The sequence below is a fragment of the Homo sapiens genome, chromosome 3 (assembly GCF_000001405.40).
Source record: "Homo sapiens chromosome 3, GRCh38.p14 Primary Assembly".
NCBI classification, from domain to species: Eukaryota; Metazoa; Chordata; class Mammalia; order Primates; family Hominidae; genus Homo; species Homo sapiens.
The window spans coordinates 151,943,688-151,969,813 of NC_000003.12; the positions used below are offsets into that span (position 1 = coordinate 151,943,688).

The 26,126-nt window shown below is 37.1% G+C and overlaps 1 long non-coding RNA gene across 1 annotated transcript in view; it reads right to left on the bottom strand.

Annotated features, from left to right (window-relative positions):
• LOC107986047 (uncharacterized) overlaps window positions 1-25,812 on the bottom strand; it is a 38,948-nt gene extending 13,136 nt beyond the window's left edge. The window contains exon 1 of the long non-coding RNA XR_001740567.1: window positions 25,442-25,812. This is a non-coding gene — a long non-coding RNA (uncharacterized LOC107986047). The remainder of the gene's footprint in view (window positions 1-25,441) is intronic.
• Window positions 25,813-26,126: the final 314 nt, after the last annotated feature.

Consider the following 26,126-nt stretch of genomic DNA (forward strand, 5'->3'; position numbering starts at 1 on the left):
AAACCTAGATGGTATGACCTCCTGCACATCTGATATAGCACTAGGCTATATGGTATGCCTATTGCTGCTAGGCTACAAACCTATACAGTATGTTGCTCTACTGAATACTGCAGGCAACCACAACAGAATGGCACTTGTGTATCTATGTTTAGATACACAGATATAGCAAAGTTCATGCAATGCACTGGGACCTACAATGTCAACTAGGTGATAGGAATTTTCCTGCTCCATTATAATCTTTTGGGACTACTGTCGTACATGCAGTCCATCATTGACCAAAATACTGTTGTGACACATAACTGTATTTTCTTCTGCTTCTTATTTTACTATTGTTTTTATAGTTTCTTATACCGGAAATTGAGATTACAGAGACTTTCCTCCTTTTATAATGTATGTATTTACTGTTACACATCTTCCCTTTGTGCATTGCTTTAACTAAATTTGACTTAATTTGTTATGTTGCATTTTCATTCAAAATGTGTTCTAATTTCTCTTGAAACATTTTCTTTGACTCATATTATTTTGAATCATGAGCTTTAATTTTCAAATATTTGAAGGTTTTGTTTTTTTCTTTTGTTATTTATTTCTAGTATAATTCCATTATGGTCAGAGAACATACTTTGTGTGATTTCAATTATGTTTGTTAATGTGTGACTATGAGCCAGAATATCATCTATCTTGATGAATATTCCATGTGTCCCTCAAAATAATGTGTATTTTGCTATCTTTGGATAGAATTCTATAAAAATCAAGTAGATAAAGTTGGTTGATGGCATTGTTTTGTTCTTCTATATCCTTGCTAACTCTGTTAACTAGTCCTTTCTGTTACTAAGAAAGAAATGTTGACTGTCCAACTATATTTGCTGATATGTCTATTTTTTCTTTCAATGCTGTAGGTTTTTGCTTTGTGTGTTTTGAAGATCTGTGGCTTAGCTCATATAAATTGATAATTCTTATGTCTTCTTGGTAAATTAAGCCTTTTTATTATGTAATGTCCATCTTTATTCCTGGTAATCTTTGCTCTGAGTCTGCTTTGTGATATTAACATAGTCATTCCAGTTTTTGTTTGATTAGTGTTTGTGTAGTGATATGGTTTGGCTGTGTCCCCACCCAAATCTCATCTTGAATTCCCACATGTTGTAGGAGGGACCCAGTAGGAAGTAATTGAATCATGGGGCAGGTCTTTCCCGTGCTGTTCTAATGATGGTGAATAAGTCTCACAAGATCTGATGGTTTTATAAGGGTAAGTTTCTTCGAACAAGCTCTCTCTTTGCCTGCTGCTATCCACATAAGATGTGACTTGCTCCTCCTTGCCTTCTGCCATGATTGTGAGGCCTCCCCACCCATGTGGGACTGTAAGTCTATTAGACCTCTTTCTTTTGTAAATTGCCTAGTCTTGGGCTCATCTTTATTAACAGTGTGAAAAGGACTAATATATGTGGTATATTATTTTTCATCATTTTACTTTTAACCTATCTGTGTAACTATATTTTAAGTGGCTCTCTTTGCAGCATATAAGTAATTTTTAAAATCACTCCAACCATCTCTGTCTTTTAATTGGTGTGTCCAGACCATTTATGTTTAAATTAATTATTGATGGGTTTAGATTTAGGACTATCATTTTATTTTCTGGTTTTGTACTTATTCCCCTTATTTTATATTACTCTGTTTCCTATTTTAAGTCTTCTTTTGGGTAAAAGAATTCAAGATAAGAAGACTAACTTATTACATTTGCTTTGGTCTGAATATTTGTTTCCCCTCAAAGTTCACATGTTAAAATCCTAACCCCCAAGGTGATGGTTTTAAGAGGTAGGATCTTTGGGATTTGATTAGATCACAAAGGTAGAGCCCTTATGAATGAGATTAGTGTACTCTTATTTTAAAAAAAGGCTTAAGGGAGGTTGTTTGCCACTTCCATCATGTGAGGATACACTAAGAAGGTGCCATCTATGAGCCAGGAAACAAGCTCTTAGCAGACACTAAATCTGCTACCCCTTGATCTTGGACTTCCCAGTCTTGAGAACTCTGAGAGATAAATTTCTGTTGTTTATAACCTACCCTGGTTTATCGTATTTCTTTAGAGAAGCCCAAATGAACTATGACAACTTTTCATTGAAATGTTGCTCTTTCTTTTCTTCTCCCTTAATTCCTGGAGTTTCAAGTGTTTTGTTTCAGAAACAATTTCCCTTCTATCTAAAAACCTTCCTTTAGAAATTCTTTTAAAGCATGACTGATAGATACAAGTTCTTTCAGTTTTCTTTCATCTGAGGACATTTTTAATTTTATATCTAAATGAAATATCCTATCTAAATGAAATATCCTTCAGTAGTGAGAATTTCACTACTGAAGGATATTTCATTTAGATATAAAATTCTGGATTAAACATAATAAAACATTTTCTTAATTAGGAATTGACAGTTTTTTCTTTCAGCATTTCTTCTTGTCTGCCATGATTTCTGATGAGAAGTATTGAAGTTTCTAAATCATTCTTCCCCTATAGTTAATGTGTCACTTTTCTTTGGCTGCTTTAAGCACTTTTTCTTCGTCTTCGGTTTTCAGCAGTTTTATTATGATATGTCTGTGCATAGATTTCTTTGAGTTTATCCTATTTGGGATTTGCTTCACTTCTTTTATACATTTTCTAAAAAATAAAGTTTGGAAGATTTCTGTCATTATTTTTTATTTTTTTCATCATTACCCTATCTTTCTGAAACTCCAGTGGCATGGTTAGATCTTCAGGTATCATCCTGTTGGTCCTTGAGATTTTGTTCTTTTGTAAGTTGTTTTCTTTGTCTTGTTTCGGTTAAATGAGTTTTTTCTCCTGATCCGTCTTCAAGTTCACTGACTCTGTGCTCCGTTATCTCCATCCTGCTGTTGAACTCAGTGAGATTTTTATTGGAGGATAGAAGAAGGTGTTTATTGTATTTTCCCATCCTAAAATTTCAGTTTGGTTCTTTATATCTTTGATTTCTTTGCTAAAGCTTTTTGTTTAACCTTTGTTGCAAGAGTGTTCACAATTGCTTCTGGAAACATTTGTATAATAGCTACTTTAAAGTCTTTGTCAGCTAATTCCAACATCTATTGTCATCTCAGCTTTGCTGTCTGTTGATTGTCTTTTCTCATGTGAATTGAAATGTTTGTGCTTCTTTCTATGCTGAGTCATTTTTGACATTTTGTGAATTACTTCAAGATTCTTTGGAGTCTTGTTTAAATTCTACGCAGATTGTTAATATTTTGTTTCAGTAGGTTTGGGCCACAAGTTTTTGTTTGTTTGTTTCTTTTTTTGAGATGGAGTTTCACTCTTGTTGCCCAGGCTAGAGTGCAGTGGCATGATCTCGGTTCACTGCAACCTCTGCCTCCTGGGTTCAAGTGATTCTCCTGCCTCAGCCTCCCAAGTAGCTGGGATTACAGGTGTACACCACCGTGCCAGGCTCATTTTGTATTTTTAGCAGAGACAGGGTTTCACCATGTTTGTGAGGCTAGTCTTGAAGTCCTGACCTCAAGTGATCCACCCTCCTCAGCCTCCCACAAGTTCTAACCCACCCCCTATAGACTGTGGTTCCAGTGTTAGTTCAGTGTTCCAAACCTTTGTTGTGCTGTTTGCTCTCTCCTGGGTATGCACTCCACAGTGTTCAGTCTGGGACCTAGACTATCTGTTAGTTCAGTGCTCATAGATCTTTGATGTGCTGTTTGGGGTCAGATCTATGCATATGCAGGTTACATGAAAGTCCTATCATTCCTAAAGGACTTTCTTGGGTCACTTTTCTGAGCTCCTTTCTCTCCACAGTCTCCCCAGTACTTTGGCTTCCTGTGGCTTCATTTTTTGGTGGGCTGTCTCATGAAATTACTCTTGTCAAACTCTGTAATGCATTTCTATGATGGAGCACACATTCTCGCTCTACTGGAGCAAGGACTGAAAGATATAAAAAGCAATGGCATTTGCCCCATCCTTTTGAAAATGCAGCTACACCCGATGGCATCAAAGGTGCTCCTCCCTGAGAGCTATGGTTTTTGAGGTTTTCCGTAGCTTCTATCTCCATGGTTTTCCACGACTGGGATTAAGGTAGATTCTTCCTGAGAGGATTTCTCTTCATTTCTGGAAGTTATCTGAGTGCATTAACAATTTAAGATCACTTAAAGTTAAATACTTGAATTTGTTCATATCACATAAGTAATATGAATTCTAACTTCAAATTGATATAAGATTAGACTTGTAGTTATAATACTGTAGGGTGTTAAAGAAAAACTTATTCTGACACTTGTTAAAACTATAAGGAAGACTTTATCAGAGCTATTGTAATCGATGTCCTGAATATTGTAATAGGTGGTCAAGATTGGGTTCAACTCTGAATACAGCAAAAGCAACAAGGTGTCTATAGCCTATGAGAAGAGTGAGGGGGTCATGAATGGAGAATTGCTAAGAGGAGACATCAAAGGTAGGGAATTCTGGCTAAACAGTCTTAACAGGGTTCTTACTGATAACAGGTCAGGGTGACCAGGTATGAAGAGTGGAGGATTCTCTCTAAATTGACTTGGCAGGATTTAAAAACTGGACTCATGGAACAGGGAAAAAAGGAATGAAGAATTCTTGCTAAAACTGGATTCAAAGAACAAGAATCAAAGACAGGGTCCTAGGATGAGGCCTGGTTCAAAAGAGGATTCACAGGAGCTGCTAAAGTTTGGTCAAAAAGAGGGTTTAGGGACTCGTTTTTAAGTCTTTCTTCCCTTTCAGTGCCTAGATTCAAGATAATCAATATATTTTGAAACTGAGGGAAGAAGGGTTTGTTAGTTACATCTCCTTTCAGATTTCTCAGCTTGCTGAAATAGAAGCTTTGTTTCCAGTCTCCAATGCCCTGAAGGCCATAAAAAGGAAAGTTCAATTTTTTTGTTATTTAAAAGCCACCTGCATTTATTAGCTTTCAAAGTTTCAGCCTTCAAATGGATTTTCGCTTGGGTATTTTTTACTTCTGCAAGTTCAACTCCACATTTAGGATTTTAAATTTTAATTTATCTGGCATTTGAGTTGTTATCATTGAAAGAGTCTATCTGAGAAACTAACTCACCACACAGTTGGAAACAGAAGTTTCTATGTATGTTTCAATAGTGAATTCTTTTTATATTTCCAGAATAATTGCTTAGTTGGTAATATTTGGGTTCTAATTTTTCTTTCTTCTAAATAGTAAAAAACGTTTTGACTTTTTATCACAAAGGACAAACATAAATTAATTTTGTTTGTCCTAGCCACAATCAAGGAAAACAATTTTGGCAAAATTTCTTTCTTTTTTACTGCACAAAACAATTTACAGATTTGTTGCTATTTCTATCAAACTACCAATGACATTCTTCACAAAACTAAAGAAAATTATTTTGAAATTCATACAGAATAAAAAAGAGCCTGAATAGCAAAAGCAAGCCTAAGCAAAAGGACAAAGTTGGGGGCATCATGCTACCTGATTTCAAACTGTACTACAGGGCTGGAGTCACCAAAACAGCATGGTACTGGTACAAAAACAGACACATAGACCAATGGAACAGAATAGAGAGCCCAGAAATAAGGCTGTACACCGACAACCATATGATCTTCAACAAAGCTGACCAAAAAAAAAAAAAAACAATAGGGAAAAGACTCCCAATTCTATAAATTATGTTGGGATGACTGGACACTCATATGCAGAAGAATGAAATTGAACCCCTTCCTTATACTATATATAAAAATCAATTCAAGATGGATTAAAGATTTAAATGTAAAACTCAAAACTATAAAAACTCTGGAAGACAACCTAGACAGTACATTTCTGGACACAGGAATGAGCAAACATTTCATGAGAAAGACACCAAAAGCAATCAACAAAAGCAAAAACTTGACAAATAGGATCAAATTTAACTTAAGAGTGTCTGCACAGCAAAAGAAACTATCAACAGAATAAACAGACCACCTACAGGATGGGAGAAAAATATTTGCAAACTATGCGTCTGACAAAGGTCTAATAGCCAACATCTTTAAGGAACTTAGACAAATTTACAAGAAAAAGACCAACAACCCCATTAAAAAGTGGGCAGAGACCATGAGCAGATATTTTCCAAAAGGAAACATACATGCAGCCAGAAAGCTTATAAAAAAAAAGTCAACATCACTGATCATTAGAGAAATGCCAATCAAAACCACGATGAGATATTATCTCACATTAGTCAGAATAGCTATCATTGGTCAAAAAATAACAGATGCTGGCAAGGTTGTGGAGAAAAAGGAACACTTATACACTGTTAATGGCAGTCTAACTTAGTTTAACCATTATGGAAAGCAGTTTGATGATTCATGAAAGAGCTAAAAACAGAAATACCATAACTGGGTATAAACCCCAGGAAATACGAATCTTTCTACCGTAAAGACACATGCACACATATGTCCATCGCAGCACTATTCACAATGGCAAAGACATGGAATCACCCTAAATGTCCATCAATGGCAGATTGGATAAACAAAAGGTGGCATATACACCATGGAATACTATGCAGCCATAAAAAGAATGAGACCATGTTCTTTGCAGGAACAGGATGGAGCTGGAGGCCATTATTGTTAAGAAACTAATACAGGAACAGAAAACCAAATATCTCATGTTCTCACTTATAAGTGGGAGCTAAATGATGAGAACACAAGGACACAAAAAATTACAGTATGTTTCTCCATTTTCAATTCTTTGCTCTCTGAAAAATGTCTTGTGAACCAGTTAAGGCAAAAATTGAACCCAGACTTCTGTTTAATAGGTTTTTAATCTTTTGATTTTTTCAGACAATAAAATAAGAAAATCATTTTTGTAATCTCTGTAGAGTCTTTCCCTTGTCATGGTGAAACATTTCGGTTAGTAAATTAATACAGTCTGCGTATCTCAGAATATGTTTTACAAATATTATCTGAATCAGCTGCATATGTATAAACAGTTATTCTTGTCTGAAATCAAGTGTTTCTGTCTACCTAATATGAGAAGAAACATTTAAGTAAATGTGTATTTCTGTCATAGAATATATTGTATGTATACTTTAGAGAGATTTTTAACTGAAAGCTCAGAGTATTACTATATTTTAGCTGTATGAACCTTAAAATCAGTAAAACAAAAATATGAAATCTCAAATTCATCTTCTAGTTTATTACAAGTAATTATTATAAGTAATTAACATTTAAATTCTCATTTACTCTTTTGCTGTTCTTCAATTCCCATTTAAGTTATTATATATATTTATGAAATGCTGCCCGAACCACCAAATAACGTTTCTCCCTTTAAACTTGGCTTCATTTCCCTTCATTGAAAATTTAGCTCTATCAACAAAAGATTGCAAATTACCCCTTCATTCCCCAATGGTAATTTGTTGTATCTTTTCATAATCCAAATTCTTCCAAAGATTCAGATGTGGATATTTATCAATTTCCTTCCAACGGGAACTGTTTTCAATATGACTAAGCTTTCACATCCCAAGAGTTAGTTTGCTGTTCAGCCTTATTTTAGTTTATTCTATGTAAAAAGATCTCTTTTCCTCCTCCTGTAACTATTGTCACCTCACCAAATTCATCCTCACAGAAGCAATAACAGAACTAAGTGTCTTTTATCTGCACTTTCAGGAGGTTCCTGTGTCGTAAGAGAGCTCTCCAGGCCAATTAAGAAAACAGCTTCAGTTCCTATCATATCTCTTCCAGAGCAGTATTTTTTCCTACAAGGTTCCTTCTGAATCCTTTATGAAATTGCCTTCCAAGTGTCTTCACTCAACTTATATTTCTTTTCTGCTTTCTGGAATGTAATTGCTAACACTGAATTGTAAGAGATGCAAAGGATGGGGAGAACATAAAGTGAATCCAAAATGAGTTTTGAAATCTATTTCAAAACAGATTCCCTGCCTAGCAGATATTCCCAAATTGTGTACTGCAACATCAGCTTGCTGCATTTATCCCAAAGATTCACATTGTTGACTTATCCTCGCCATAACTCTGATATTTTCTTCATTTCAATGAAAAGAGTTGAGGATTCTTTTCAATTCCCCTTCCCCAGGTCTCCTCTCCTGTTATTCCAGAGACTTTACTTCCAAATCAGTGTCATCCTCATCAGTTCCCTTTTTACTCTCTGCTCTTGGTGCACAAACCTTGATTATAAAAGGCGTTAGTTAGGTTTATCTGATCTAAGTTTATAAAACCAAGTGTGAATCCTAGCATTCTGATAAACTGTTTGACCCTGAACAAACTGGCCTGGGTTGTAGAATGGAACACATCAGGACAGTTTATTCCATGCTTGCCTTTCATCTCCAGAAACTATTAAAAATGAAATATGATTTTCCATTTGAGCAGAGTTTGAAATCACTTTCACTACTTACTTTCCCTACCTCTTTCTGGTAAAGACTTCCTGATGACAGGAATTTAAGAATTTATTCTCATATGTTATGCTCTCTTTTCTAGCTCTATAATCCTCAGCTTGGATATTCCCACTGAACCCCTGCAAAATAATATGGTCTAAGCAAGAACATCCACAACTGTATCTACCTCTGTGTATGTTGCAAAAGGCCCTTTGGCATATGAGCGTTCTTTGGATGGTTGTGAGTCACGTGAGGGGGTATAGGGTAGCCCAGTACTGAGCTAGGTGAGTAGAAAGGAATTTTTTAAAAAGCAGTTTGGGGAGCTAAGTTTAAGGGCTTTATTTTTTACTATCTATAGCCATATTGAGTTATAAAAATGGGACCCAACTTTCTAACAGGAATTTTTTTCTACATTAATATTTGTAGATTTGGGAGATTAAGTAAGAAAATAACAACCAGTAAAATGTTGGTGGACTGAGTACAAGCATTGCTTATTTATTGGCTGGCCAAAGTACCTATGGGTTGTAGAGTAAACACACTATTCTAACTTTTAAGTTACGATCATGAGTTTATTTTACTCTCTCTCCCTCCCTCTTTGTCTCTCTCTCTCGATGAATAAAATTGCCAGAGAAATCAAGGTGCAAGATCAGAAAAGGACCTGAGAATCTCTGACTAAAAAAAAAAATTTTTTTGTCGTTGTTTTTTTTGAGACAGTCTCGCTCTGTCACTCAGGCTGGAGTGCAGTGGCGCGATCTCGGCTCACTGCAACCTCTGCCTCCCGGATTCAAGCAATTCTCCTGCCTCTCAGCCTCACGAATAGCTGGGACTACAGGCGCGCGCCACCACTCCCGGCTAATTTTTGTATTTTTAGTAGAGACGGGGTTTCACCATGTTGGTCAGGCTGGTCTCCAACTCCTGATCTCGTGATCCAGCCACCTCGGCCTCCCAAAGTGCTAGGATTACAGGCGTGAGCCACCGCGCCCGGCCATACAATATTTTTTAGAAGGGTGGTATACCCATTTTTTCTGAGGTAAAGAGGGGCCCATCCCAAAAGCAGTCACTTATCAGATACTGAGGGAGAGAAGGGCTGTGGGTCTATGAGGGAATAAAAACTTGCACTCAGGAAGCTGACATGGGTAAGGAAGGGGAGAGCAGCTTGCTAAGGTCTGCAATATTTTGGACTCAGATAGTAAGATGCTGGAGGGTCTATTCCCCCCCAAAAAATTGCTGTTAAAGGCTTTACTTTTGTGCTCATACTGTCTGCCAAAATAAGAACTCAGCATTGGCCATTGCTCCAGCTGTACCAAAGAGTCTAAACATAAAACAACAAACCTAGAACCTTCTGAAGAAAATATGACAATGTATTTTTATGATCTTGTGTTTTTAAGACTCTAAAGGAATATCCATGCAAGAAAAGATTTATAAACCAGATGATGCTTACATTAAGAAATTTTAGGCCGGGCGCGGTGGCTCACGCCTGTAATCCTAGCACTTTGAGAGGCTGAGGCGGGCAGATCACGAGGTGAAGAGATCGAGACCATCCTGGCTAACAAGGTGAAACCCTGTCTGTACTAAAAATACAAAAATTAGCTAGGCGTGGTGGCGGGCGCCTGTGGTCCCAGCTACTCAGGAGGCTGAGGCAGGGGAATCGCTAGAACCCAGGAGGCAGAGGTTGCAGTGAGCCGAGATTGTGCCACTGCACTCCAGCCTGGGCAACTGACAGAGCGAGACTCCGTCTCAAAAAACAAAATTTATTCTTCAAAAAAAATCAACAAAAAATGGATGTTGATAAGGTATGTTGTGTGGGAACAGGGGATATGTGGAAAATCTTTGTACCTTCCACTCAATTGTTCTCTGAAACTAAAACTGCTCTGTAAAAAAAGTGCTCTGTAAAAAATAGTTTATTTTCTCAAAAAGGGCCCCACAAGGAAAGTGAAAAGATAAATGGGAAGAGTTATTTGAAATGCATATATCCCACATAGAATTATTATGCACAATTATAGTGAACTTCTACTAATCAGAAAATACACACAAACACACAAACCAGAGAAGAAATGGACAAAAGGTATGAATAGAAAATTTGTGAAATAGGGAAACCAAATGGCCAACAAACATAGCACAAAAGATGCTCAAAGAAACTCACTGAAATGTAGGTAACTGCTAATTAAAATTACAATTTGAAATTACACCAATAATGCTGAAAAAAATTAAGCAGTCTTGCAATACCAAAATAACAAGGATCAGAACAATGCAAATTAATGGGAATTCTCATCACTGCAATGGAGCACAATTTGATGAAATTTAGTAAAGTTAAATATATAAACACCCTCTTATAATCCAGCAAATTTCGCTCTTTGGTATATGCCTCAAAAGACTTCTTATATATGTGGGCAAGGAGATTTGCACAAGAAAACTTACAGCAGCATTGTTTGTAGTAATAAAAACTTGGAGGGGAAAAGTGAATACTATTTATCAATGAAAACGAAGAAGCCCCACATGGATACATTTACAAACATAATGTTTATCAAGACACTGCGGAAGACTAGGTAACTGTGTTTCCATTCAAATGAAGTTTAAAGATATGAACATGATAAACATGTTGTTCAGGGATATAGACATATGAATAAAAGTCCACTAGAAATACATAGGGAGCTTGAACAAACATTTTAGGAAAGTTGTAGCTCTGGTGGGGATTGCAGGAGCAAGCAATCAGGGCAAAGTCTGTAAAGATGTTTCAACACTATCAGTAACGTTTAATATTCGTGGCTTGAGGGTAGAAAACAAGTGTGTCTTAATTCTTCTTTTCAACTTTTCTTTCTTACAGCTAAGTATAACTGAGCTTTTATATTTATCCAAGCCGATAATCTTTACCTCTTAACTGATACATTTTCTGTTATTTTTTTCTCTTTGCTCTCCTTTGTTCTTATTTCTGCTTCTAGGGTGTTTTTGTTTGTTTGTTTGTTTTGTTTTGTTTTGTTTTTTTGGAGTGACATGTTCTAAAGACAACATTGTTTTATTTTTCTTTGCTTATTTAAGTTCTTAGCATTTATTAACTATATTTTTTCTGACTAAATCTTTGTTATTTAATATTTCAGTCTTCCTCCTAAACATGAAGAGGACCCTATCATATATTAACTACCAATTAAGCAGACCCTTGTTATTTGATTGTAAAGTAATTCAGTTGTTCATTTATGTATTCATTTATTCATATTTGTAAACAAACACTATAAAGTAGATTTTGCATAACAAAATATAAGGTTTAGCAGTACAATTTATCAATGTCTTCATATGTTGTTTTTTCTTATATCTCACATCTTATTTTGGGTTCACTTTTCTTCTTGCTGTATGTGTCAGCTCTTTATTATATACCCAACTGCCATTTCCCTATTCCTTATATGCAACATAACCTTCATTTCCCAGAAAGTGATAGGAGATGGAGGGGAGGAAGCTAGGTACCTCTCCATACGACAAATCATGATGGATCTAAACCAGTTGAGGTCATCCCATTACCCTTGATGATTATCTAAAGCTGGGCATTTGCATTGACAATGGAGAGAGAAATGTGTCAGAATGTAATTTAAAGAGGCCTTCCCTTCCTGATTAAATTAGGTCACTGAAAGAAAGCCTGTTGCCTCTTTCTACCTTTTTCCTGCCTTCAATGTAGAAATGATTCTAGAAATGCAACAGCCCTTTTGTATCCATGAGGTGATATATATGAAACAGTAAAATGTATATATCATGCATGGTGTTACAGAAAACTAATAAGACCTTGGGTCCTGCTGACATTATAAGTACAAATGTATTCCCACCAGGTATCTGTGTCAGCATTCTCATTACACTTATATGAGACTTTATCTGACAGTTCAATATTGTTTTACCTGGAATAACTTGATACTATTGTATTTAGTTTTCTATGTGATCTTTTTTCTTTTTTATTTTAGCAAAATATATACAACATAATATTTGCCCTTTCAACCATTTTTAAGTGTACAGTTCAGTGGCATTAAGTACATTCACATTGTTGAGCCACCATCATGGCTATGCATTTCGAGGACTTTAGTTTTCTCAAACTGAAATTCAGTATCCGTTAAATGCTAACTCCTTGTTCCTCCTTCCCTACCAGCCTCTAGTAACGACCATTCTACTTTCTGTCTCAATGGCTTTGACTACTCCAGTAACTCATCTAAGTCTAATCATACAGTATTTGTCCTTTTGTGACTGGATTATTTCACTCAGCATAATGTCTTCATGGTTTTTCCATGTTGTAGCATGTGTCAGAATTGTCTTACTTTTAGGGCTGAATACTATTCTATTGTATGCATATTGTAGTAACATTTTGTCTGTGTATTCATTCATCAACAGATGCTTGGATTGCAGCTACAACATTTTACTTTCCTACCAGTAATGCAGAAAAGTTCCAGTTTCTCCGTATCTTGGTTAGCACTTGTCATTTTCTATTTTTCTTATAGTAGCCACCCTAATGGTTATTATACTTTGTAGCCATTTATATTTAATTCTTATCATTAAATTTCTTTTTGTATTTGTAATATTTGTTTTGTAGGTAAATTTGTTTGGGGAGGTATTTGGGTATTTTGTGTGTGTGGGTTTTTTAAAATATATTCTACCTCTACCCATCTGCACACATATTGCTGGTTAACAGATTTGGTGTAGCTCAAATCTGAGGGTTTCCAATCCAGGGCCAGTCTTAAAATAGTGGCTCAGGGCACGGCCCCATGATGAATCGTGGCCATCATTCACCCTTGCTTCAGTTACTGGTCATAAGGAAGCCAGTTGTCCTCTCACCTCCCCAGGCTCTCAGCTCTCTGGAAACCAGAGCTCTAAGCATACCTTCTGTTCTTCCCCCCACCCCTCCCTGCCATCTCCTGGCTTTTACAGTGATCTTGGTTCCATATAACCAACTTCTATGGTGGCTTTGTCACTATCGTCTTATGGGAGAGTCTCACTCCATCGCTATTACCTGTAGGATGTCTCCAAGTTAAGCAAGTCTATCCTTTTTCATCTCTACTTATTTTTTCCCTTATTTTTTAAAAAATTGTCATATATTTTTTGTTTTATCTACAGCCTAGTTGTGCTGTTTTCCTTGTCTACATTTATATTTTTGCTGCATGTTTGATATAGTATAACCATTTGAGTACAATAAATTATGAAATTCCTGAACCACCTTAATGTGCAGTCTCAAGATAAACGGAAGCAATTCTTTTTCTCTCATTAAGGCTACTTTGAGTTCACCTTCATAAATGTGTCTTTCTAGACAGTATACTTGCCTTAAGGCAGAAGAACACGAAGAGCTAGGTCAGTACCTTGTCATTAAATGCAAAGGTCTCTTGATTTTTGAAACCTCTTGATTTTTGAAACCTTACATTTGTAGTATTCTTTAGTTTGTTCTTCCTTTTTGGTTCCCATGAATCATTCAATACCTTCATGCCTGTTAGGGCTTCGTCTAACTTCCTTACTTTGTTTTACCCTCTCCCCTTTTTAAAATAATCTTCAAGCTGCCTTCTGGTTTCTAAATTCACTGCTTACCCTAAACATTAATACTCATATGCTCTTATTTCTTCCTTATCTTCTTGCTTGATTTGTGATAGGTTGTTAATACTTTTTCACTTTAGCATTTGGATTATATTTTTATTCAAAATTTAGGTTTCTCATCTGCTGATGGGTTTCCTAGCATCAGTTCCCTCAATTCTCTCTCTCAGTATTATAGAAGGGATCTAGAAAGAAGGTTCAATGACAGAAAGCAGCCCTGCAGGAATAGCCAGGATAAAAAGTATTTAATTTAAACAATTTTACAAAATATTCAATCATTTTGCCTCTTTCAACTTTCTTTATATATTTTGTTAATTGTACTTTAATAATTTCTCATTGAGTACTTGTGAAAACAATGAGTTATGTCTATGCTACATTTATTTATGAGTGTATTATAAACAGCTAGAAAACACTTCTACAAAAAAGATTAAGGAAAATACATGTGAGAATTGTAGGGAATTTATTCATTCATCCATATACATTTAATGACACTTATTCCTCATGCTTTGGAAATACAAATATGAATAAAACAGAGTTTCACACTTCAAGGAACTCACAGTCTAGCCTAATGACAGACACACAAGCAGGTAATTTCACATGTAGTGTGATAAATACATAACAGCAGGAGGCATGATGGAGGGATCTACCAAACTTGCCCAGAAAGGCCTAGTAAAACATTACAGATAAAGGCTTTGCTCAGCTGCATTTTATAAGGTGAGTGGACCTGAGCACACATACAATGTAGAGCAAAGGCATTCTAGGGAGAAAGGATCAGCAAAATATTTAAGGTTTATTTTCTCTTCAGAGGATGATTATAGGAATGATGTATCAAATACGTGGTGTTAACGTTAAGAGATTAAACAATAAGTGAGGGCTTGGATGAGATTGTCAAAGGCCCTGTGTACTTTACTGAAAATTTTTAATTTTATCTTGATGTCTGGAAAATTTGGCTATACATAATACAATGCATATTTGAGGGCAATGTCGTCCTTTATATAAGAGTGGAGATTAGGAAGAGAGAGCTGCAGAGGAGGAGCCAATGTAAATAACCTAGTCCTTAGTGAAGAAAATGGGCAGAATGTGATGGATTTGTGAATTGTGGCTGAGGTTGCACTGTTGGACTTTTTGGCTGACTGTGTAGTGGTGGTGAGGGAGAAGTAGAGCAGTGTCCTTTTAGGCTGACTGTGTAGTGGTGGTGAGGGAGAAGTACAGCAGTGTCCTTTTAGAAGATTCAAGAATTAAGAAAAAAATGTTTTAAAGATAAAGAAAAATACTAAGGCAGAAGGGAAATACTTACAGGACAGGATTGCCAGAGAAGGCCTTAAAAGATGAAATCAGTCTCCATTGAACAATTTGGTACCATCGTCTTTAAAGTCTATAAGAACGGGCCCCCCTGTAATTGCAGGTGTGTAGCCTGCATGGCTAGGTGCAGTCAAGAGCAGCAGCCCTGAGATGTGTGGTAGCTATAACAAATAGTTTTTGAGGGGACCATGTTTGCAAAAACAATTTGATTTAAAATGTATTATAAAACTCAAGGGCCCATGTGGAATACAATAATTTATCAATGAAGAAGTAGAATAAAGAGTAGAAAGGAGGTACTTACATATGTAGTTATTGTCCAGTCAGCTAACTTAAAGATTCTTTATAGTAGCCAGGCACTATCTCTTTCTGTTCCTATCTAGAGACCATCTCTTTATTATAAAATGGATATGTTATTATAAAATGTACCATTTACAGCTCATTTAATATCTCCCATAATAAAAAGAAAGACAGCAATGCTGTTGCTACTTATAATGCCATGGTTCTTCCAAACATTTTATATTGAAATAATAGAGATTTCTTGCCTCTTTTGTTCCCTAATACCATATTTTAATGATCTTTGCTCATGGTACTACATTAATCATTGTGCCACCTATAAATATTGGTGTCTGTTAATTATTTCAAAAGTTGTGACTCTGAATCTTTGATGATGACCACACATGTAAGTTTTACCTAGGGTATACTGAAATGTGAGTAATAATTAGTTTTCTAATTAAGTAAATTCATCATTCAGAAGTTTATAGTATAACTACTGAACAACATCTCTTCCATTCATCTCTACTCTTGAAATCTTTTGGCTGTAAATTCTGTGTTTGTTATCTCTTTCATTGTTGACTGCACCTCTGACTTTCACACACTATCACCAGCAAAGAGGATAGATGAGGGGTTCATGAGCAAATTGGGAAAAGAAGCCTGATTTGCACAGGGAATATCTATCCTTCACAGTACATCTTAAGAGAGTGAATCAGGAGAGCACAATATAACTACACACATTAGAGACAAGATAGGACATCAACAAGAGTCCACTGGCATTGCAGAAGACTGATCTCAAAAGCCCCTGGAAGAGATAGGTGCAGCTAGCTACCCCAGAGGACTGTGGAGGAGACAACGTGACCATCCTAGGTGCCAGAGATAGGGGATGCACATGGTAAAGAATTCCAGCCACCACCTCTCGAGTGCTGTAGACAAGAGGCAGTACTGCAGTGGGAATAAATATGGGTGAGAACGAACTTACAGACCTCCCGACACAGCTCAAGCTTAAAAATCAGAAAATGAACTACTGGAGCCCAGAGGTCTGAACAAATCTTATGTCCAAGATAATTGAGAGTCACCTCAAATCACCATTCTTGTACACCAATCTTGCATTATCTCATGAAAGAAATTCTTCACCAGCTAGTGGAAGAAATTTGCCAAGCAGGACACCTCCTGGATTATAGGCATGAGTCTTGGTGTCCACTGGTATATTTTGTCAACCCCATAAGTGAGACAGAGGGCCAAAGAATGTTCCAAAGGGGAGAAATTGGAAAGCTGGTCCAGGCTTGGTGTACCCTGCCCAGACTGTACCGTAGGCCCTGGCCGGTCCAAGCCACTCGAGAGAGACTTAGAACATTTCACATTTAGTACATCCAACAATCAGACCCATGCATGACCAGATCTGGGCTCAGGAAATCCCACCCAGATGGCACTGCCAATTCTAGATGATCCCAAGAATAAGGCACTCAGAAGCATAGGCAGCCTGAGGCATAGGTTCTAGTGCAGCAACCTACTCAGGTCTAATGGTGGCTCTAAGTAGTGATTCTAATTCAGAACATACATATAGAAGTTTCCCTTAGAATTTTTTCTTGCATTATAGTTAAAAGCTTAACACTTAATAAAGTTAATAGCTGTTAAACATTTTGCACGTGCAAGCATTCTGTTGTCAACCTTTAATGTATTTTCTCTTCAAATTCACTAATAATCTCATGATTATTATTATTGTTAGCTTTATGATATATAGGAGGAGAGTTACTTTAAAAATTGAATAATCTGTCAAAAATCACGCAAATAACAAATATCTGAACCAGGAATCAAACCTGAATCTATGTAACATCAAAGCCCGTGCTCTTAATGATGCTTCTAAATTTCCTAATCTTTGAGGTAGAAAGTAAAAATAATGAGTAAGATATAATAAGCATGGCAAGAAAGGAAATCAAGCTAAATTTTCTCTATTTGCTCTGAAAATGGGAGTTGGGTTATCTGCCAAGAATAAGGAACAGATGGTACAGAGTGTTTGAAGATTTACTGCTGTGGAATAAACTAGGAAGAATGTTTGTTAAGCAGCATTGAGGAACCAAATGAGTCTGAAAAATCATAAATACAATACATATTGGCATGATCTAGATGTTTCTGTGGCTTTCTGCATCAAGAATTTAGTGCTATGAAGAACAATGAGAAAAACATAACTGTAAGAAAAGTGAATGGCAGGGTGCATATATTGGTTGGTGCAAAAGTAATTGCGGTTTTTGCCCTTGAAAGTAATTACAGAAACCACAAATACTTTTGCAGCAATCTAATAGTAGAAATACGTGTGGGAACTCAAAGCTCGCCTCCTTCTCTTCCAATCCATGTGGTGCCATACTCCATCTAGAACTGGGAGGGGTCTTATATACACAGGGATATCCTAACCTGCACATCCTTTCAATAAGCATCTCTTAGCAAACCCCTCTCACAACTTGAGCTAATACACACCAGTAGTGCTATCAGGTCTTGAGAGGAGAGATCTGTGGAAGAAGGCTACATAGGACCTTGAAGCAGGATTGAGGCTGTTTTGGCAAGACATTCCAGGATCCTGGGTCCTGAAAAGCAATATAGAAGGGGCCTTTCCAAATTTCTCTCCTTGTGCACTTAAGTTGCTGTGATTGTCTGTGTTTTATGGCAGTACTCCTTAAGGATATATAAGTTAAGATACTATGAGTTGTAAATAACAGAAAACTCTACCCATGGTAAATTAAGCACAAACAAACCCAAAATTTATTGACTCAGGGACATGAGCAATTCAAGGCCAGATTTAGATGAGACTATTCAAAGTTCAAATGGGCTTCAGCTTTGTCATCTTGGTGCTGGTTTCATTCTCAGGTGAGGCTTTCATGGGGCTCATGTTTCCTCTTTTAAAAGCCTTTGGAAAACAAGAGTTCATTTCCCTGATCTCTTGGCCAAAGAATGAAATTGTGTGGACAACTCTAACTGACCTGACTCCAGTCATGTATCCTTTTTCAATCAACCTTTCTCTGGCATCAAAGATAGGCTGTTTGCCATAATCTTAACTACTCTTGGGAATGAGGGAGTGCTCAACCCCAACAAGCCACTAAACTGAGAACCTCAGTGTCCTGTTAGAAAAATAGAATGTTATATATATAATTGAAACAGAGATTGTTTTTCACATATGTTGTATTATGAACAATCACCTTACATGGTAATTTGTTGTTTTGTTATCCATGTAAGCAGAACACAGGGGTTTAAAATAATACAAAAAACCTGCATAAAACTCAAAACTATTTTTTCAATGTTCTTTCAAAAACAAGAAGATTTTAGAGGTCAATTTTGGAAGTAAATCTTTTTTCCATGCATTTAGAATAGCATAGCATCTGGCCTTGATTAAGTAAGCCAGTTGTCTAGGGACAAAGCAGAGAGACAGGAAAACTCAGTGGTGGGAAAGAAAAAAGAGTGCCTCCAGCAATAATCCAAGACTCCTCCTTTTTCACTAGTCTCCATTGCTTCGGATTTGTGGTTTCTGTGGATTTAACTTTTTCAAGTGGCAAATAGTTTTTATGCATCTGCTATAATCTTTCCCTAGGTAGTTTTATTAATTTTTTAAACAAAATTTTCTTTCTAGGCTTCTAGATCCTGATTCCTAAAGTGACTGAGCCCATTGTCCCTGTACCTTTCTAAGGGCAGTATTGCTGAGCTTGTCTATTAACATTAAAAACTGGGAAAGGGAGTACTAAGAAGTACCCAAGTGGATCATGCAGGTGACAAAAGTATTATTTCCTGTACCCACTGTAACAACAGCTCTGCCCCCACCTGTGATCAGGATCAATTACCCACAGCAAGATGCTGACTTCTCTTCTTCCCTGGTTCCTGCAAGGAACTGGGGAGTGATTCCATGTAGCTCCTTCCTGTTATGCTTGAAGTGAATCTCTCACCATGTGCATTTAATCATCTTCTTAAACTCTTAAAAGTCAGACTCATGTTGCTGCCACTCCATCATAGTAACTACTATTCATGCTATTCATCATGGTAACTACACTGGCCTGTATTCTGAAGGTTACACCCTGCCACCTGACCTTTATTGTTTCTAATTGTTATCATCCCCTATTGCAATTGATGAGTCTATTTCTGCAAATGCTACTGTCAGCCTTGGCTTAGAAAGGAGTGCCTCCACTGAACTTATTAATGCTGGGGCCCGCCCATCAGCACCTTCCTTTGGGTCATTGTGTGGACCAGAGTCCTCTGGGGGCATTCATAGTCACACAAAACGTATCTACTCTAAATCGCCTACTTCTCTGGGCCTTTCAACTCCTTCTTTCAACATCTGTCATGGCAATTCTGGCATTTCCATTTTACATAATGTAGCCATCATTTTTCCATGCTTCCAAAAGCCATCTGGATGTGTGTACCATATCCCAGGGTGTTAAACTCTGTATTTAAGAAGTGTGTAGAAGTGTGTGTGTGTGTGTGTGTGTGTGTGTGTGCGCATGTGTATTATTTGTTCTAAATGTATTTTCTGTCCCAACTTAGACCAACAGCCTCAGAATCCATATCAATGAGTAGTCAGGGAAAGACCTCGTTTCTCCATTAGCAGTCATAGAATATCTTTGATTATACTAGAACAAAACCATAGTTATTAGCCTAGCAGACAGAAGAGGAGGTTGGGGAAGATACCAAACTGGCAGGCTGGGGGAAGTGGGGAATGTAACATTGTCTATAAAGAGAAAGGCCCCTGCAGCATCTTTAAGGGGGGAGTGATAGCATTTCTGTAGGCTCAGACTCCAGAGAAATTTGGGGGACTAAATATTTTCATATGTGTCAACACAGATTCCTTATCCCATGTACCAGATTTTCCATTATTTCCCAAACAGGACTCTCAAGTATAGCATAGCCAACTAACCTTGGCTGTAACTTTTAAACTTTTTTTGGAATTTGGCTACTAAGAATAAAAAACTGGGCCTGGGCCTCAGCATTTTCTATTTTTTAGTACAGGATACCCAAGCCTTTTTGTATGCTGCCAACAAGACCCTCTGCTTTCACACTAAAATTTAATTGTTAATTAATGACTCTCAACTTTTTGTTATCTTTTCCCAGAACTTCAACTGAGTTTGGCAATATCAATTTAATTTCATTGTCTTCATAGGTACTACTTTATTCACATTTATCAAATATCTGATATATCTACCAACTAATGCATACTCCTCCATTGATAGAGCATCTCAGTTCACCCTGGTGAACAACTGCACTGCTGCTTTGTCCCAGGTGATTATTTGTTCTTCCTGTATGAATAATAGGTCAAGCTCCAAAATCTTAGTATCTGCTTTGTTATACTTTCTTACCATGGACCATCACCTGTCATAGGTAGAGTTTGCCAAGAACAGACATTAAAATGGATAGTAAGAGGGGATTGAGATGGCAGATAGGAGGCTGGACTAGCTTGCAGTTCCTTCTTGGTCAGACAGAGCAGCATGTGGAGACTCACATTGTGAACTTTTGCTACAAGAACTACTGAAGGAACATGCCAGGAAAGCTGAGAGAATTCACAGACCCTTTGAAGGAACTGGATCACCACTGCAGGCTCCCTGAGATGCCAAAAAACAGTGAGTGTGTTTGCATTCTCAATAGGGAGGCTCATGATCTGGGGTAAGTTCTCAGCCCTGATCACTGGCTGCCTGGAAATAGACTTGGTGCTGTTGGGGAGACACAGTGGGAGTGAGACTGGCCTTTAGGACTGTAGGCTGTGTGGGAGTAGGATGAGGCCTATGACTGCCAGCTTTCCCCCACTTCCCTGGTGACCTCTATGACTCAGAAGAGGCAGCCATAATCCCTTTAGGAACATAACTCCCTTGGACTGGGAACGACACCACCATCCCCAACAGCAACTGTATCAGCAAGCCCTGCCCAAAGAGAGGCTAAGCTCAGACAAGCCTATTCCTGCCTCCACCTGATGGTCTTTCTTTACCCACCCTGTTAGCCAAAAACAAAGGTCATAATCTCTTGGGAGCTTTATAGCCCTGCCCATCACCTGAGAAACCTGCACATTTAAACAGATATCTCTAGGGCAAGTTTGCATTCTCCCTATAGGACCACAGCCAATGAATTCTTGAAAGTGCCACCTCCTGGCTAGAGGCCAACCAACACAAAACCAGTGCACTAAACAAAAACACAACCAAGGATGCTTACAGAGTCCACTTCACTCCCCTGCTAACTTCACCAAGGCAGGTGCTGGTATCCATGGCCACAAGACCTGAAGATGGATCATATCACAGGATTCTTTGCAGATACTCCCCATTACCAGCCCCAGAGCCCAGTAGATCCACTGGGTGGCTAGATCCAGAAAAGCAAAAACAATCACCATAGTTAGGCTGTCAGGAAGCCCCATTCCTAGGAGAAAGGGGAGAACACCACATCAAGGGAACACCCCATGGGATGAAAGAATCTGAACAGCAGCCTTTGACTCCCAGATCTTCCCTCTAACAGAGTCTACCCAAATGAGAAGGAACTAGAAAAACAATTCTGGTAATATGACACATCAAAGTTTTTTAACATCCCCAAACGATCATATCAGACACCAGCAATGGAGCCAAACCAAGATGAAATATCTGAATTGCCAGAAAAAGAATTCAAAAAGTTGATTATTAAGCTAATCGAGGAGGCACCAGAGAAAGGTGAAGTCCAACTTAAAGAAATAAAATCATGATATAGGATATGAAAGAAAAATTATTCAGTGAGATAGATAGCATAAATTTAAAATATCACAACTTCTGGAAACCAAGGACACACTTAGAGAAGTGTAAACTGCACTGAAAAGTCTCAGTAATAGAATCAAACAAGCAAAAGAAAAGAACCTCATAGTTTGAACACAAGGCTTTCAAATTAACCCAAATCATCAAAGACAAAAAAAAAAGAATTTTTTTTTAAATGAACACAGCCTCCAGGAAGTCTGGGTCTATGTTAAATGTCCAAACCTAAGAATAATTGGAGTTTCCAAGGAAGAAGAGAAATTTAAAACTTTGGAAAACATATTTGAGGGAATAATTGAGGAAAACTTCCCTGACTTTGCTAAAGATCTAGACATCCAGATACAAGAAGCTCAAAGAACACCTGGGAAATTCATCACATAAAGATCATTGCCTAGGCACGTAGTCATCAGGTTATCAAAAGTCAAGACAAAGGAAAGAATCTTAAGAGCTGTGAGGCAAAAGCACCTGGTAACTTATAAAGGAAAACCTATCAGATGAACAGCAGATTTCTCAACAGAAACCCTACAAGCTAGGAGGGATTGGGGTCCTATTTTTAGCCTCCTTAAACAAAACAATTTTCAGCCAACTATTTTGCATCCAGTGAAACCAGGCTTCATAAATGAAGGAAATATACAATCTTTTCCAGACAAATAAATGCTGAGAGAATTCACCACTATCAAGCCAGCACTACAAGAACTGCTAAAAGTACCTCTAAATCTTGAAACAAATCCTCAAAATACACCAAAATAGAACTCCCTTAAAGCATAAGTGTCACAGGACTTATATAACAATAACACAATGAAAAAAAAAACAGATATTCAGGCAACAAATAGTATGATGAATAGAATAGTGCCTCACATCTCAATACTAACATTGAATGTAAGTGGCCTAAATGCTCCACTTAAAAGATACAGAATAGCAGAATGGATAAGAATTCAAAAACCAAGTTTCTGCTGTCTTCAGGAGACTCACCTAACACACAAAGACTCACATAAACTTAAGGTAGAGTGGGGGAAGAAGATATTCCATGCAAATGGATACCAAAAGCAAGCAGGAGTAGCTATTCTTATATCAGACAAAACAAACTTTAAAGCAACATCAGTTAAATAAGACAAAGAGGGACATTATATAATGACAAAAAGACTAGTTCAACAGGAAAATATCACAATTCTACATATATATGCACCTAATACTTGAGCTTCCAAATGTATAAAACAATTACTACTAGACCTAAGAAATGAGACAGATGGCAACACAATAATAATGGGGGTTTCTAATACTCCACTAACAGCACTAGACAGGTCATCAAGACAGAAAGTCAACAAAGGAAAAATGGACTTAAACTATACTCTGCAACAAATGGACTTAATAGATATTTACAGAGCATTCTACCCAACAACTGCAGAATATACATTCTGTTCATCAGCACATGGAACTTTCTCCAAGATAGACCATGTGATTGGCCACAAAACAAGTCTCAGTAAGTTTAAGAAAATCGAAATTTTATCACGTTCTCTCTCTGACCTCAGTGGAGTAAAATAGCATTTCCCCTGAAAACTGGAACAAGACAAGGATGTGAACTTTCACCACTTGTATTCAACTCCAAAAGGACCCCTCAAAACCGTGCAAATACATGAAAAGTAAATAACCTGCTCCTGAATGATCGTTGGATGAACAATAAAATCAAGATGGAAATTTTAAAATTCTTTGAACTGAACAATAATAGTGACAAAACCTATCAGAACCTCTGGGATACAGCAAAAGCAGTGCTGAGATGAAAGTTCATAGCAGTAAATGCCTACATCAAAAAGCCTGAAAAAGCACAAACAGACAATCTAAGGAGAATGGAACTGGCCCCCCATCTCACACCTTATACAAAAGTCAACTCCAGATGGATTAAGGACTTAAATCTAAGACCCAAAACCATAAAAATTTTAGAAGATAATATCAGAAAAACCCTTCTAGTTATTGGCTTAGGCAAACACTTCATGACCAAGAACTAAAAAGTAAATGCAACAAAAACAAAGATAAATAGATGGGACTTAATTAAACTAAAAAGCTTCTGCACAGTAAAAGAAATAATCAGCAGAGTTAACAGACAACCCATAGAGTGGGAGAAAATCTTCACAACCTATACATCCAACAAAGAAATAATATCCAGAATCTACAAATAAATCAAACAAATCAGCAAGAAAAAAAAATCCCATAAAAAGTGGGCTAAGGACATGAATATACAAATGGCCAATAAGCATATAGAAAAATACTCAACATCACTAATTATCAGATAAATGCAAATTAAAACCACAATGCAATACCACCTCACTCCTGAAAGAATGACCATAATCGAAAAATCAAAAAAGAATGGTGTGGATGTGGTAAAAAGAGAACAATTTTACACTGTTGGTGGGAATGTAAACTAGTACAACCACTATGAAAAACAGTGTGCAGATTCCTTAAAGAACTAAAGGTAGATCTACTGTTTGATCCAGGAATCCCACTACTAGGTATCTACCCAGAGGAAGAGAAGTCATTATAAGAAAACGATACTTGCACATGCATGTTTATAGCAGCACAATTCACAATTGTAAAAATATGAAACCAGCCCAAATGCTCATCAATCAATGAGTGGATAAAGAAAATGTGATATATACATATACACACACACACACATATATACACACACATATATATATACACACACACACATACATACACACACACACACACACCATGGAATACTACTCAGCCATAAAAAGGAACAAAACAATGGCATTTGCAGCAACCTGGATGGAATTGGAGACTATTATTCTAAATGAAGTAACTCAGGAATGGAAAACCAAACATTGTATGTTCTCACTCACACATGGGAGCTAAGCTATGAGAATGCAAAGGCATAAGAATGGTACTTGGACTTTGGGGACTCAGGGGAAAGGGTCAGGGGTGGCAAGGGATAAAAGACTACACATTGGGTACAGCGTACACTGCTTGGGTGATGGGTGCACCAAAATCTCAGAAATCGCCACTAAAGAGCTTATTCATGTTACCAAACACCACCTGTTCCCCTAAAAAACTATTTAAATAAAAAATAAGACATTAAAAAATAAAAAATAAAAAAGTTAAAAAATTGAGATGACTTTCAAAATATGAAATCAAGATTTACTTTTAATAAAAACATTACACACACACACACACAAAGATGGCTATTAGCACATAGCATATTAGTTAAGGAGTACACTTAGGATAAATACCTGTGTAAGAGAAGGGAGGAAAGCTGGATTGGGCGGAGGGTTGAGCTCTGTCACAATCTCAATAAAGGCCCCAGTTGAATTCTTGGTAAGCATTTGAATGAGAATGGTTCTTCAGAATCATGCTGAGTTGGAGTGAGGGAGGCAAGCATTTATATCTTTCCATTGATGAGCTGTTGGATGCAGGCTATCCATGGAAGGGATTGTTGCTTTGGATGAGGTAGTTTTCTTCAGTCAAGAAAATTCCCAATAAGGGTGAATCACAACAGACTATCTTCCAGTAGCACTCTCAGAGTTTAGGGAACTAAGTGCTTCATTCCTGAAAAGCAATTGCTGACACATCACATTGTGCACTACAAAGTCCAAATAAAATGTAACTGAACATTGAATTAGATATATGATCTTTCCAATTATGTCCTGAGTAGTTGACATTTGGAAGTAGATTATATAGCACTTCTAGTCCTGGTAACTAGAAATTGTTTAAATTCAGAAAAGGAAGATTTCGACAAGAATTTTTATGTCCTTTTTCCTTCCTGTAATAAATATTCCAGTAAACCATTGCCTCTATGGGATATTAGGAGTGAGAGATATTCAAACTACACAAGATAAAATTTTTGCCTTAGAAAAAAATAACCATGGAAATATGCCCAACTGGTGATGTCTTCTTTCCCCAGAAAAGATCAATTAA